The following is a 12,830-nucleotide window of genomic DNA, read 5'->3' on the forward strand; positions in this document are numbered from 1 at the left end:
TCATGTCTTTCCCTTATCATGCCTTTTGCACCATTCTCTTTACCTGTCTTCCATATATTTCTTATGTTCCCTATCAACCATCTGCACTCTTTCCTCTCTTCTCCCTATCCCTCAAATCCACCCGTTCAGGACAGTTATCCCTATTTTTTCCCCTCTGTTACACAGTCATCTGCCCTATAGCTTGTCCTTGCTGTCCTGTAGAACCGTGAACCGTTTTCCCTCTGGCCTCACATACTGTGCCAAGCACTATGCAGCTCCAAAGAAGTAACCTCCTAACTTTGAATATGCAAAAAAATAAAAATAAAAAGAACAGATCCAGTTCAGAGACAGATATTTTGTGAGCTTTCATAGTTTCTGTGAATTTAATAGCTTAAAAAAAAACTAACATAAAAAGTTGTTTTCAAATTTTCAAGTATTTACTGTCTTTATTTTTAGAAACTGTTTGGAATAATTTTATTATAAGAAATTTAGAGACTTATATTAGAAAGCTCATTAGCTAGAGTCCAAGTATTTTCCTTACAAAAATACCTACATGTCTTTATTACAATATCACCTTTATGGCTGAAAATCTCACCGACAGCCATATTAACTAAAATTACTTTTGCCTCAAATGCTGGGGCTATGAACCAAAATAGTCTAGTCTCCTGATGCACTGAAGATGAACAGAATTCATTTATAAAAAATATTTCAACCAGATGTCTGAGAATTTGGTTACAAATCAGCAATTACAAAGGAAGACAAAGGAAAGGAAGACAGATTTTTATTTATATATTGAAACAATGGGTACTAAGTATTATAGATAATTGGGATAAGGGAAAGGCATTCCATTCTTATGCCTTTGGATCCTCATAATTTACCTCCCACTTTTGAGTGACAGCATAAAATGTTTGGTTTTCCATTCCTGAGTTACTTCACTTAGAATACTAGTCTCCAATCTCATCCAGGTTGCTGTGAGTGCCATTAATTAATTTCTTTTTATGGCTGAGTAGTATTCCATTGTATATATGCCACAGTTTCTTTATCCACTAGTTGACTGATGGGCATTTGGGTTGGTTCCACATTTTTGCAATTGTGAATTGTGCTGCTATAGACATGAGTGTGTAAATATCTTTTTCGTATAATGACTTCTTTTCCTCTGGGTGGATACCCAGTAGTGGGATTGCTGGATCAAATGGTAGTTCTACTTTTAGTTCTTTAAGGAATCTCCACACTGTTTTCCATAGTGGTTGTACTAGTTTACATTCCCACCAGCAGTGTAGAAGTGTTTCCTGTTCACCGAATCCAAGCCAACATGTATTATTTTTTAATTTTTTTATTATGGCCATTGTTGCATGAGTAAGGTGGTATTGCATTATGGTTTTGAATGACACAAAGGACTCTGGGGACTTGAGGAAAGGATGAGAGGGGGGCGAGAGATAAAAGACTACAAATTGGGTGCAGTGTCTACTGCTCAGGTGATAGGTACACCAAAATCTCACAAATCATCACTAGAGAATTACTCAAGCCGGGTTTAGTGGCTCATGCCTGTAATCCCAGCACTTTGGGAGGCCGAGGTGGGCGGATCACCTGAGGTTGGGAGTTTGAGACCAGCCTTACCAACATGGAGAAACCCTGTCTCTACTAAAAATACAAAATTAGCTGGGCATGGTGGTGCATGCCTGAAATCCCAGCTACTCAGGAGGCTGAGGCAGGAGAATCACTTGAACCCGGGAGGCAGAGGTTGTGGTGAGCTAAGATCACACCATTGCACTCCAGCCTGAGCAACAAGAGCGAAACTCCATCTCAAACAAACAAACAAAGAATTTACTCATGTAACCAACCACCACCTGTTCCCCAATAACCTATGGAAATAAAACATTAAAAAAGGACAAAAAAAGAGAAATGCATTCCAGTGTCCCAATTCCTGTAACTCAATGTCTGCTACGTGTTAGGCACTAGGCTAGGAGCTTTGTGGAATAATGCAAAGACCCTGACCTTGCTGATCAGACCCTATAATCAACTTAGAAGAAAGGCAGGCAACACACAGCAATAGCAAAAGGCAATGCAAGAAAGGGCTTTTGGAGTCACATTCAGCAAGTGCCTTCACATTCAGTTCAGGGAGAAAGCGAGAGAAAGGTTGGTTCCAACTGTGTTAATACATGAAGATATTTTGGAAAGGAAGTAGCTTTTAAATTTAGCCTTAGAAGCACCAATAAGATCTTGATGGAAGCGATTAAAGTGTGCTGTACATAAAACAAATGCAAAACTTTGACCCTAAAATTGTATTAGGCATATTTGGGAAAAGCAAATAGACGTATGTGAGTGGGGCAGAAAGTTCAAATGGGAAAGTGAGAGAAAACCTGGAAGATAGGTTAATGAAACCCATGTCATAGAAGACTTTGTAAACCTCTATGCTAGTATTTCCGAGTTTTCTATTTAGACTCACGACATCAGAATTAGACTCCTGGGCCACGCTTCTGATCAGAATCATAGGGCAGTACCCTGAATCTGCATTTTAACCATCTTCCTAGGAGATTCCAATGCACACTAAAATTTGAGAACGTTTCCCATTCAAATAACCATCAGGGCAGTGTGGCCTAGAGGTATGAGGAAGAAAGGATTCGTCCTTTTGGACGTCCCTCTGCCAGGGAAGTCTCAAAGCAGCATTCTTTAGCTCTGTGCATTCATTATACATTTAGGTAAAATGACTGTTTTTATCTTCCAGGCTTCGTTAGGGCTCAGACTTGAGTCCAGTGGAGCTGCCTGGGAGGTGATCTGAGTGGCAGAATCTTCTGTCCCCCACAAGAGAGGAGAGGCTTGTTTGCAGTGTGAAGCTCATTGCACCTGGCTCTCCTCCTCCACTCAGAATTCTTATGCCTTTAAAAACACACAAACAGAATGCCCTCAGAGCTTCAGGGGTGAGATTTTATCACACCAACCTGTGTAGAGGACACAGTGAGGGTCCTGATCCCACTCGTGTGGAAGTTGAAAGGCAGATACTGTTTGGAAGAGGAGAGACTGAATTTTATCTTACTTTTTAAAAAGAGGTACTATATTCACATGACACAAAATTCAAAAGGTACACAGGGCATCCTGTGAAAAGTCTCCTTCCTGATTGTACCCAGCCATCCAAGTAGCACCTCTGTGTATTCAAGTTAAAGAGTATCTCTGTATCTGCCCAGCTTTTAAAAATGGAAATGGTAATATACTGTATGCACTGTTCTGCACCTTGCTTTTTAAAATTTCTTGTCAGAGCTTCCTTGTTCTTTGTGCAGTGGCATAGTATTCCACTGCGTGGCTATATCATAGTTCAATTTCATGAGTCCTCTATAGGTGGAACTTGGGTTATTTCCACTGTGATGCTATTACAAACAATACTACAACAGATAGCTTGTAAATATGTCCTTTTAAACGTGAGCAGTTATATCTCTAAGGTCAAGTCCCAGAATGAGATTGTTGGGCTGGAGGATAAATAAATGTGTAATTTTTAAAGCTATTGACAGGCTCCTCCCCATAAATGTTATACCATTTTGCATTCATATGATTAATGAAAAAGAGTCCCAGTTCACCCCTACAGTTTCATTAACAGAACGTTAAACCTCCGCATCTCTGTCAGCAGGGACAGGCGAGGAGTTGATTCTCTGCACGGTTTGTGTGGGAAGGTGGAGAAGGGAGCAACTATACTGGGAACCTCGCCAGGGGTCCAGAGCCTGCTTTGCAGACAGCAGCGGGCATTCAGTGGCAACAAAAGAGAGCACCAGCTTTTTAGTTTTTCTTTACGTGTCTGAAATATATTTTGAAATTTTAATTTAAAAATTAGCAGTAAAATTGACTTTGTTTGGCATAAAGTTCCATGAATGTTAATACATGTATTGATCTGAGTGACCCCCGCCACGATAAAGAACAGTTGCATCATCCTCAAGCCTCCCTCCTCCCATCCCTTCGGAGTCACAACATCCCCCCCACCCTGAAACCCCTAGGCAACTGCTAATCAATTCTCCATCACTATGGTTTTATCTTTTCAAGAATGTTATCTAAATAGAACCATACAGTATGTATCCCTTGGAGCTTGACTTCTTCAGTTCAGCATAATTTCCTGGAGGTTTCATCCAAGCTGTTGCATGCATCAGTAGTGTGTTGCTTTTTACTGCTGAGAAGTATCACAGTTTATTTACCCATTCACCCATTCAGGGGCATTGGGGTTGTTTCCAGTTTGGGCTGATTATTAATAAAACTGCTATAAGCATGCATGTACCATTATTTGTGGGAACATAAGTTTTAATTTCTCCCTAGCATAATTTTCATATTATAAGTAAGCTTAGGGATATTTTCATATATTTAAAAGACATTTGTATTTCCTTTTCTGTTAGCTGCTCATTTCTTTTATCCGTTTTTTTTTTTTTTTTTTTTTGGTGGTTGTTGATTTTTATTTTAGAAAGATTGGTTTAAGGGAGCTGACAGGACATCCAGATGGAAATGTTTAGCATTCAATCAAAAAATGCAGGCCTCAATTTTGAGAGAGAGGCTCAAAGATGTGGATTTGAGAGGCACACTGATAGGGAATGGAGAGTTGAAGCCAGGGAGCGATGTAAACTCGAGAGAAACACACAAGGCTCAAAGACAGAATCTGCAAATGCCCATGTTTAGGATGCAGAAAGAGGAGGATGTAAAGGAAGAAACCAAGAGACTTCTTAGAGGTCACAGAAGAACCAGGCTATTTCAGGGTAACATTAATAAAAGCTGAATTTTAAAGGTCTGATAAGTAAAGGGTTTAAATCCCAGAGCACAATGTCAAGAGAAAGAGAGAACATCTTTCTCCAAGAATTCCAAATAACAGTCCTGCAGTTCATTCTGATTGTTGTAGCAAGGTCACATGATTACCCCTGCGCTATTCACTATGAAAGGAATTCAGTGCGTTGATTGGCCTACCTAGGTCATGTGCTTCAACTCCATAATTTCCCAGAACCTCATGGATCCCCAAGGGGAAATATGGGGCTGTTGGAAGACTTAGATGCTGAAGAAACAGCCAATGAATGTCCAGTGAGTGGCCTTTGAGAGTGGCGTATCATCTGAGTGCAGGAGCTTAGAAGCAGCTGCACATTAAGTTGAGAGACTGGAGGCAACATGTGTAGAAAACCCAAAGAGTTTGGCTCAATTTTGGTAACCAAGAAGCCTATATGAAGGATTTTTCTCCCCAAAATTAAGGCAATATCAGTGCATATTCATACACCCAAGAAAAGAAACCACAGGGAGGGAGGCTGCAGAGATGGTGAAGCGTGAGGGGATGGTGGAGGGGAACTGAAGTGCGTACTGGTAAAGCCCTGGAGCCAGGTGCAGGCGGTCAGGACACTCAACTCTTCCTCTGAAAGGCAGTCTCCCCCCAACCCCGGCTCCGTCCACTCTCACTCCCCCGCATCCACTCTCACTTCCCCCACACCCTCATTCCTCCCCTGACCACCCTCACTCCTCCCTCCCTCACTCCTTGCCTACCACCCTCACTCCTCCCCCATCCACCCTCACTCCTTGCCCATCCACTCTCACTCCTCCCCCATCCCCCCTCACTCCTCCCCATCCCCCTCACTCCTCCCCCACCCACCCTCACTCCTCCCCCTCCACCTTCACTCTTCCCCCCACTCCTCCCCCATCCACCCTCACTCCTCCCCCATCCACCCTCACTCCTCCCCATCCACCCTCACTCCTCCCCATTCACCCTCACTCCTCCCCATCCACCCTCACTCCTTCCCCATCCACCCTCACTCCTCCCCATCCACCCTCACTCCTCCCCATCCACCCTCACTCCTTCCCCATCCACCCTCACTCCTCCCCATCCACCCTCACTCCTCCCCATCCACTCTTACTCCTTCCCTATCCACCCTTAGTCCTCCCCCATCCACCCTGACTTCTCCCTGCCCCCATCCACCCTCCCCACTGCAGTCAGACAATCTTTTTAAAGTGAAAACCCAGTCATGTTGCTACCCAGTGAGAGCTACTTCAGGGCCTCAGGCTGCTCCCAGGACGTAGTACTCATGGCGTGGGTTGGACTTTAGGGCCCTGTGTGAAGTGGCTCCTGCCTGTGTTCACTCTCTCTCTCCAGCCCCCAGGGACCATCAAGATCCCTCACTGGCCTCTTTCCCTCTGAAATAATGGTAACTGCCTGTCTCTTTACCAGACCGTGAGGTCCAGGACAGGTGGGGATGGTGTATGTTTGGTTCACGTGGATCCTCTAGCACTGTGTTTGGCAAACAGTAGGCACTCATACTTGACCACTGTATGAAGGATGGATGGATGCCCACTAATCTGTGAAACTTGCTGTTGCCTTAGTGATTATTTCTAAGATCTAATTCTCACCCATTGTTTATCCAAATCAGATGTCATTGTATTAGACACTAAGCAAGAAAAATAAATAATGAAGTTATTAGAAAAAGCAAGACCAAGTCTTAGAATTCTATTATACATATAGGAAAAAAAGAATATATGGAAACATGCAAACTTAGAGAAAGTGCTTAACTCTAGGTATTGAAACTAAGAATCGATTAATTATATTGTGCAAAGAGAAGACTAAGGAAAGAGGGAAATGTGGGACATCAAGGAGTTAAAGATATTTTAAGCAGGGAAGGAAGGAGGCGATGGAATAAAGCAAGCCACTGTTCTAAAGAATGGGATTAATTAAATAAAGCATGGTACAACTGCTCAATGAAATTGTATGCACGCTGTTTGAAATCCTGTCTCTGAAGGTGGGGTAGTAGTGTCAAGGCTGACGCAGAAGAACTTTGGTGCTACCACATCCAAATGTCTCCTCAAACCACCCCAAAGGAACATGTCCTCTACATAACACTGATGTGCTTGCTGTGTATATTTGGCTCCCCCAGAAGCGAGCTTCCTCCTTTAGCCAGCCTGCAGCCCAACCCCCAGGTGGATGAAAGGATGGTGACACCTCGGTGAAGACGGTGACAGTATTTGTGATATAAGTGTCGAAATACTAGATTTATATAAGTTTGAAGGACAATGAGATTACAGTTATTCATTAAGAAAACAAATACAGAATTTATTCCAAAAGGTAAAAAAGGTGAAAGAAGATACGTAACATGAGTAGTATGGTTGTTGGAAGCATTTTTTCGTATTTTCACTTCAAAGTTTTAGAACTTTACACTTTCTTTGAACATGTACTGTAAAATAAAACAATGCAAAAATTGTGTTTTAAATATCAAATTAGCCATACTTGATTCAAATTATACCTGTATACAAGGAAACACTCATTGGTTCACACTGTTCTTTTCTCTCCTTCCCAAAGGATGTGCTGGGTGGCGTCCTGATCACCGCACTCCTCATCGTCCTCACCTACCCTGCCTGGACCTTCATCGACTGCCTGGACTCGGCCAGCCCCCTCTTCCCCGTGTGTGTCATAGTTGTGCCATTCTTCCTGTGTTACAATTACCCTGTTTCTGATTACTACAGCCCAACCCGGGCGGACACCACCACCATTCTGGCTGCCGGGGCTGGAGTGACCATAGGATTCTGGATCAACCATTTCTTCCAGCTTGTATCCAAGCCCGCTGAATCTCTCCCTGTTATTCAGAACATCCCACCACTCACCACCTACATGTTAGTTTTGGGTCTGACCAAATTTGCAGTGGGAATTGTGTTGATCCTCTTGGTTCGTCAGCTTGTACAAAATCTCTCACTGCAAGTATTATACTCATGGTTCAAGGTGGTCACCAGGAACAAGGAGGCCAGGCGGAGACTGGAGATTGAAGTGCCTTACAAGTTTGTTACCTACACATCTGTTGGCATCTGCGCTACAACCTTTGTGCCGATGCTTCACAGGTTTCTGGGATTACCCTGAGTCTCAAACAGTTGGAAACTAGCCCACTGGACATGAAAGCCAAGACATAGGAAAGTTATTGGTAGGCAAATCTTGACAACTTATTTTTCTTTAACAACAACAAAAAGTCATACGGCTGTCTTGCTACTACCAGATAAATGATGCTGCTGTGTGAAAGGAAGAACTGTCTCATAGCGGTCATTGGTCGTCCGTGGTGGTTGGTTGTGCTACAGTTGAACCCAGGCTAAAGACCATAATCCGGATCTTTAAAGGCACACACCGCGCCCCCCCCCCCCCCGCCCGGCCCCTGCTCCTCTCGCTGTTGCACGGGCTTTGGATCTAGTCATGGGCTGGCAGGAATTGTGGCCTGGCTTAGGAATAGCTATGAGCCCCACTGGGTTCTGGAGAGCCAGTAGAGATGGGGTGATCTGGGAGGCTGGAGGTAGAGCCTTTCTTTTCCGTTACAACCTTGCCTAGCATGGAGTTATTTCTAAAATGGGAACTTTGGTCTAGGAGAAGGGGTGGCACCATATGAAACGGCATTCCTTGGACAGGGTGACTTCCTTATCGTTTATTTGGTGATTTTTTGTTTTGTTTTGTTTGAGACAGGATCTTGCTCTGTTTCCCAGGCTGTATTACAGTGGCACAATCTCAGCTCACTGCAAACTCTGCCTCCCGGGCTCAAGCAATCCTCCTGCCTGAGCCAACTGAGTAGCTGGGACTGTAAGCATAGACCACCATGTGCCCAGCTAATTTTTGTAGAGACAGGGTTTCTCCATGTTGCCCAGGTACGTCTGAAACTCCTGGGCTTAAGTGATCCACCCACCTCAGCCTCCCAAAGTGCTGGGATTATAGGCATGAGCCACTGTGCCCGGCCTCCTCCTTGTTATGATCAAATTAGACTGTGCCTGGTTGGGTGGTAAGATCACTCTGAAAGAAAGCTCACTGTGAAGAGATGAAAGGTGGAGGCAGAGCTGTGAGGTCATGGGGAAAAGCCTGCTTTCCTTATAAGTCCTGCTGTTCATGTTGGAATAAGGATCTGCTCTTCCTTGTTTCCATGCATTTTGCAGGATTCCAGGTACCATTACCACACTCTTCTGACCCATGAAACCAACTGGCTGCTCACACATCACCAAACAGGTTGGGGGTTAGCCTTCAGCACAGGTGGATACATCTGGGATTCACTGAGATTCCTGCCCTCTCCTGCTTCCTAGTGGTTTGGGACAGGCCCTCTGCCCATCGTCAGCAGTTTTTTGCTTTCATACAAACCTGGAAGGCACTGGCATCTGCCTAGGAAAGTGGATCTGTGAAGAACAGATGAACTCAATCCTTTCTGGAGTCTGACAAAGAAGGGATAGGCTTCCTTGACATTGCCTGTCCTGACAAGGCCTCCCTGACATTACTCCTCCAATTTCACAGTTACCTTCTGTAAATCTATTTTCTCATCTACTGAATAGAATCAGGCGCCCTTTTTGTCTTCCCACCTCTTATCTCTTGGCAATTTTAAGGGGAATTAATGCAAGAACAACTTTAGTGTCTCTTGGGAAAACAAGCCAACCAAATACAAAACCCATTAAGCCTACTAGGGTGAGTCCTCTTAACATGGGAAGGCGATGATTATGCAAACACCGGAGTTCCCTCCTCTTCAGTTCCTAAGAATAAAGAACAGGTATCAAGAACTTTCTTTAAAGTTAGTGTAACTATAGTTAACAAAGTATCCATTGAAGTTTAGTGCCTGTAGGACTGAGCCAGTGCTTTATCAACCCAACACATCATCACCATGTGCATACTCTAGAAAAAAAAATAGCTTCCTTAAAAGTTACAGAGGCTCTTAACGTGTTAAAACCGAAAAATCACATTTTTCTTGATTTCAAATATGTTCTACGGCCTTACTGTTGGGATGATATTTAGTATGTAACTTAGCATTCCAATTTCTCAAGAATTTTTAGGCCGGGTGCGGTGGCTCATGCCTGTAATCCCAGCACTTTGGGAGGCCGAGGTGGGCGGACCACGAGGTCAGGAGATCGAGACCATCCTGGCTAACACGGTACCCCGTCTCTACTGAAAATACAAAAAAATTAGCCGGACGTGGTGGAGGGCGCCTGTAGTCCCAGCTACTCAGGAGGCTGAGGCAGGAGAATGGCGTGAACCCGGTGAGCGGAGCTTGCAGTGAGCCGAGATTGCGCCACTGCACTCCAGCCTGGGCGACAGAGCGAGACTCTCTCAAAAAAAAAAAAAAAGAATTTTTAGCAAAACATCCTGTTTTTACTTAAAATTCTTCTCATATTTATTATAGTTAGAAGGCAAAGATCAAGATGACCTGCCGTTTGACTGCTTTTACATCAAACTCTGCCCAGTATTTGCAGCACAACTCAGGGGAAGGGCCTTAGCTTACAGGTACTCCCAGCCTTCATCTGCCCCTGCAGAGCAGTGGCTGTCAGCCGGATGCGGCACTTTTCTGTATTTTCATCCACACAGCTGCCCAGCCAGAGTTCGCAACACTGGATATTTACACCAAATAATTGTGGTTGACTTGTCTGAAGCCAGCTGACAAAAGGATCAGCTTTTCCCACTTGTATTTTTTAAAAAGAGGGATTGTGATCATTGTCACAGAGTGGGTGCTGGCCTCTCATATATATGATATATATATATCATTTTATATATATATATATATCATATACATAATTTTTACTGCTGTCTCTAGTTTTAAGTCCCAACAATAGGAAGGCCGATCAGCTATATTGATATATTTAAGGCTGTACTTAACTAATTTGGGCTGAGGATGAATATATCAGCCACAGCACATTAAAGAATGAGCCAAGGATTTGTCATGGTTGGTCACTTTTTAAAGTATTTGATTACTGCAACTGGAGAATGAAAAGTGTATATTGGTGACGCCAACCTCAGTTTCTGAGCACTCCTGCTCTGTGGTGAGAATCAGACAAAAATTCATCGGGGTGAAAAAGGCATTACCTGATTCACACCCTTGTCTTGCTAGCCCTCTTCCATTCATTTCTCACACAGCACTTTGCTCTGTTAAATCCTCTCTCTGTCTCAGACCATTGCTTGCCCCTTCAAAGGGTATGGTTCAGGCTCCTTTCAAGACATTTGGAGTTTCTCTCTGGGGAAAGAGAGCCCCCTACTGGTTTGGCTTCAGTCTAGGTCCACCATCCCTCTCGATCTGGCATCTTGGAGATTAATTTAAAAGGCAAGCTCACCACAATGTAAGCCTATGGTCTGGCCAACCTTGCTTTTGGGAACTGTGACACCAAAGCCCCCAGGACTATCTGCCTCTCCAGGAGCCAGATAGAATGACATGCCTTTTTCCTAATTGTCCACATTCCACCCCCAACCCACTGCCACTGTGGGCCAAGCCATCCATCTTGCAATCTTCATCTAAAACAGCTCTCATTTCATGCCAGTTTTGCTCAAACCTGCACCGTCACAAGATATTCAGAAGATGAAAACGTAGAAGACACCCCTGAATTAAAAACACTTACATAGCAGTGGCTGGAATTACTCCAAAACGTGCCCAGTGATCGCACTGTAACATGGGATTTTCTCACCCAAATAGGCAACTCATGCTTCCTGAGTGTAATCAAAGCATGTGGTGTTTTGGGGCCATATGCACCAGGTTTCTATTTTAGAAACCTTCAGCTGTCTTGCTTATGTACTGTATGTAAATTTATTCTTTTTAAAAATCACTTTTATTTGATTTTGACTTATTAAATGCTTTAAAAGCCAGTGTTCTGTTTCCTTGCATTTTTTTCTTAACGTAGATCTTTTTCTCTGAATTCATTGGACCTGAGTTGAAAAGGGGACAAAAATAAGAGGCAGGCTACATAATTCTCTGTTCTTGTCATAATCCAATCATGTGCAAATGTTGGAGAGCCTTGGAGGACCCACAGGTGTGGTAACAAGAAAGAAGTGGCATGTTGGCATCCTTAAATCCCCTCCTCTACTCCATGATACTAAAGAACCTCCTTTTACTTTATATGGAGTTAAATGTCACTATGTTTTGAAAGGTAAATGTTGTAAGTTTTGCTAGTTAAGGTAAGTAAAAGGTTTTTAGAGATGCGTTCTCTATCTGCTGAACCAAATAAACATAACCGTCATTCAAATTCACAGTGTATCACTGCAATGATGTGGTCTGCCTTTAAGCATCCCAAATTTGCTATTTGAGATGGTACATACAGTTGACACTGCCCCTTATTTGCAAGGGCAGACCTAGGACTCTATTTGTACTTTGAGCAGGACATATGAGATGTAAAGCTCCAACCTATCCTGTGCAGTTTTCGCAGGACAGAGAAGACACAGGGGCAGAGAATTACAATTCAGGAGCCAAATGGTTAAGGCTGTAGGGAAGAGAAAACAACGACATGGGAACTGGGAGGAGGGGTAGACTGCATGAGCGAGGTTTAGAGAACAGATGGGGTTTGCACAGGGAATGTGACGGGAAGTAGGTAGGAGATGGTACTCCATGGCTAGAGAACAGCGTGTCTGAGGCACTTCCCAAACACCTCCAGCTCTTACAAGAAAAAAAACCAGACCACGTTGGTGATCGTAAGAATAACAGTGGTGGTGGTGGTGGTGAAATAAAGGATGAGCATAGGGCTGTGACACCGCAAAATCAAACCACACGAACAAGAAGTGTGAGAAGGCCCTCCCAGAGGGGGTGACGTCCAGAGGTGACTTCACAGACTCCTTTCATCACTCCTCATTCAAATACAGTTGCCCCTTGAACAACTCGGAGCTCAGGGGTGCCAACCTCCTATGCAGTAAAAATGCATATAACTTATGACTCCCCCAAAACTTAACTACTAATAGTCTGCTGTCAATGGGAAGCCTTTCTGATAGCACAATCAGTAGATTACCACATATCTTATGTTATAGGCATTATATATTGTATTCTTACAATAAAGTAAACTGGAGAAAAGAAAATGTTAAGAAAATTGTAAGGAAAATACATTTACCCTTCATTAAGTGGAAGGGGATCATCGCAAAAGTCTTCATCCTCATCTTCATGTTG

At 43.5% G+C, this 12,830-nt stretch overlaps 1 protein-coding gene across 3 annotated transcripts in view; it reads left to right on the forward strand.

Annotated features, from left to right (window-relative positions):
• The window catches only part of SGPP2 (sphingosine-1-phosphate phosphatase 2), a 138,634-nt gene extending 127,089 nt beyond the window's left edge, over positions 1 to 11,545 (forward strand). For all 3 annotated transcript variants that reach the window (NM_001320834.2, NM_001320833.2, NM_152386.4), the window contains one exon: positions 7,271 to 11,545. In NM_001320834.2, coding sequence (NP_001307763.1) covers positions 7,271 to 7,822 — 552 coding nt within the window. In that variant the 3' untranslated portion in view covers positions 7,823 to 11,545. The remainder of the gene's footprint in view (positions 1 to 7,270) is intronic.
• The last annotated feature ends 1,285 nt before the right edge of the window (positions 11,546 to 12,830 follow it).

The sequence above is a fragment of the Homo sapiens genome, chromosome 2 (genome assembly GCF_000001405.40).
Source record: "Homo sapiens chromosome 2, GRCh38.p14 Primary Assembly".
Lineage (NCBI taxonomy): Eukaryota > Metazoa > Chordata > Mammalia > Primates > Hominidae > Homo > Homo sapiens.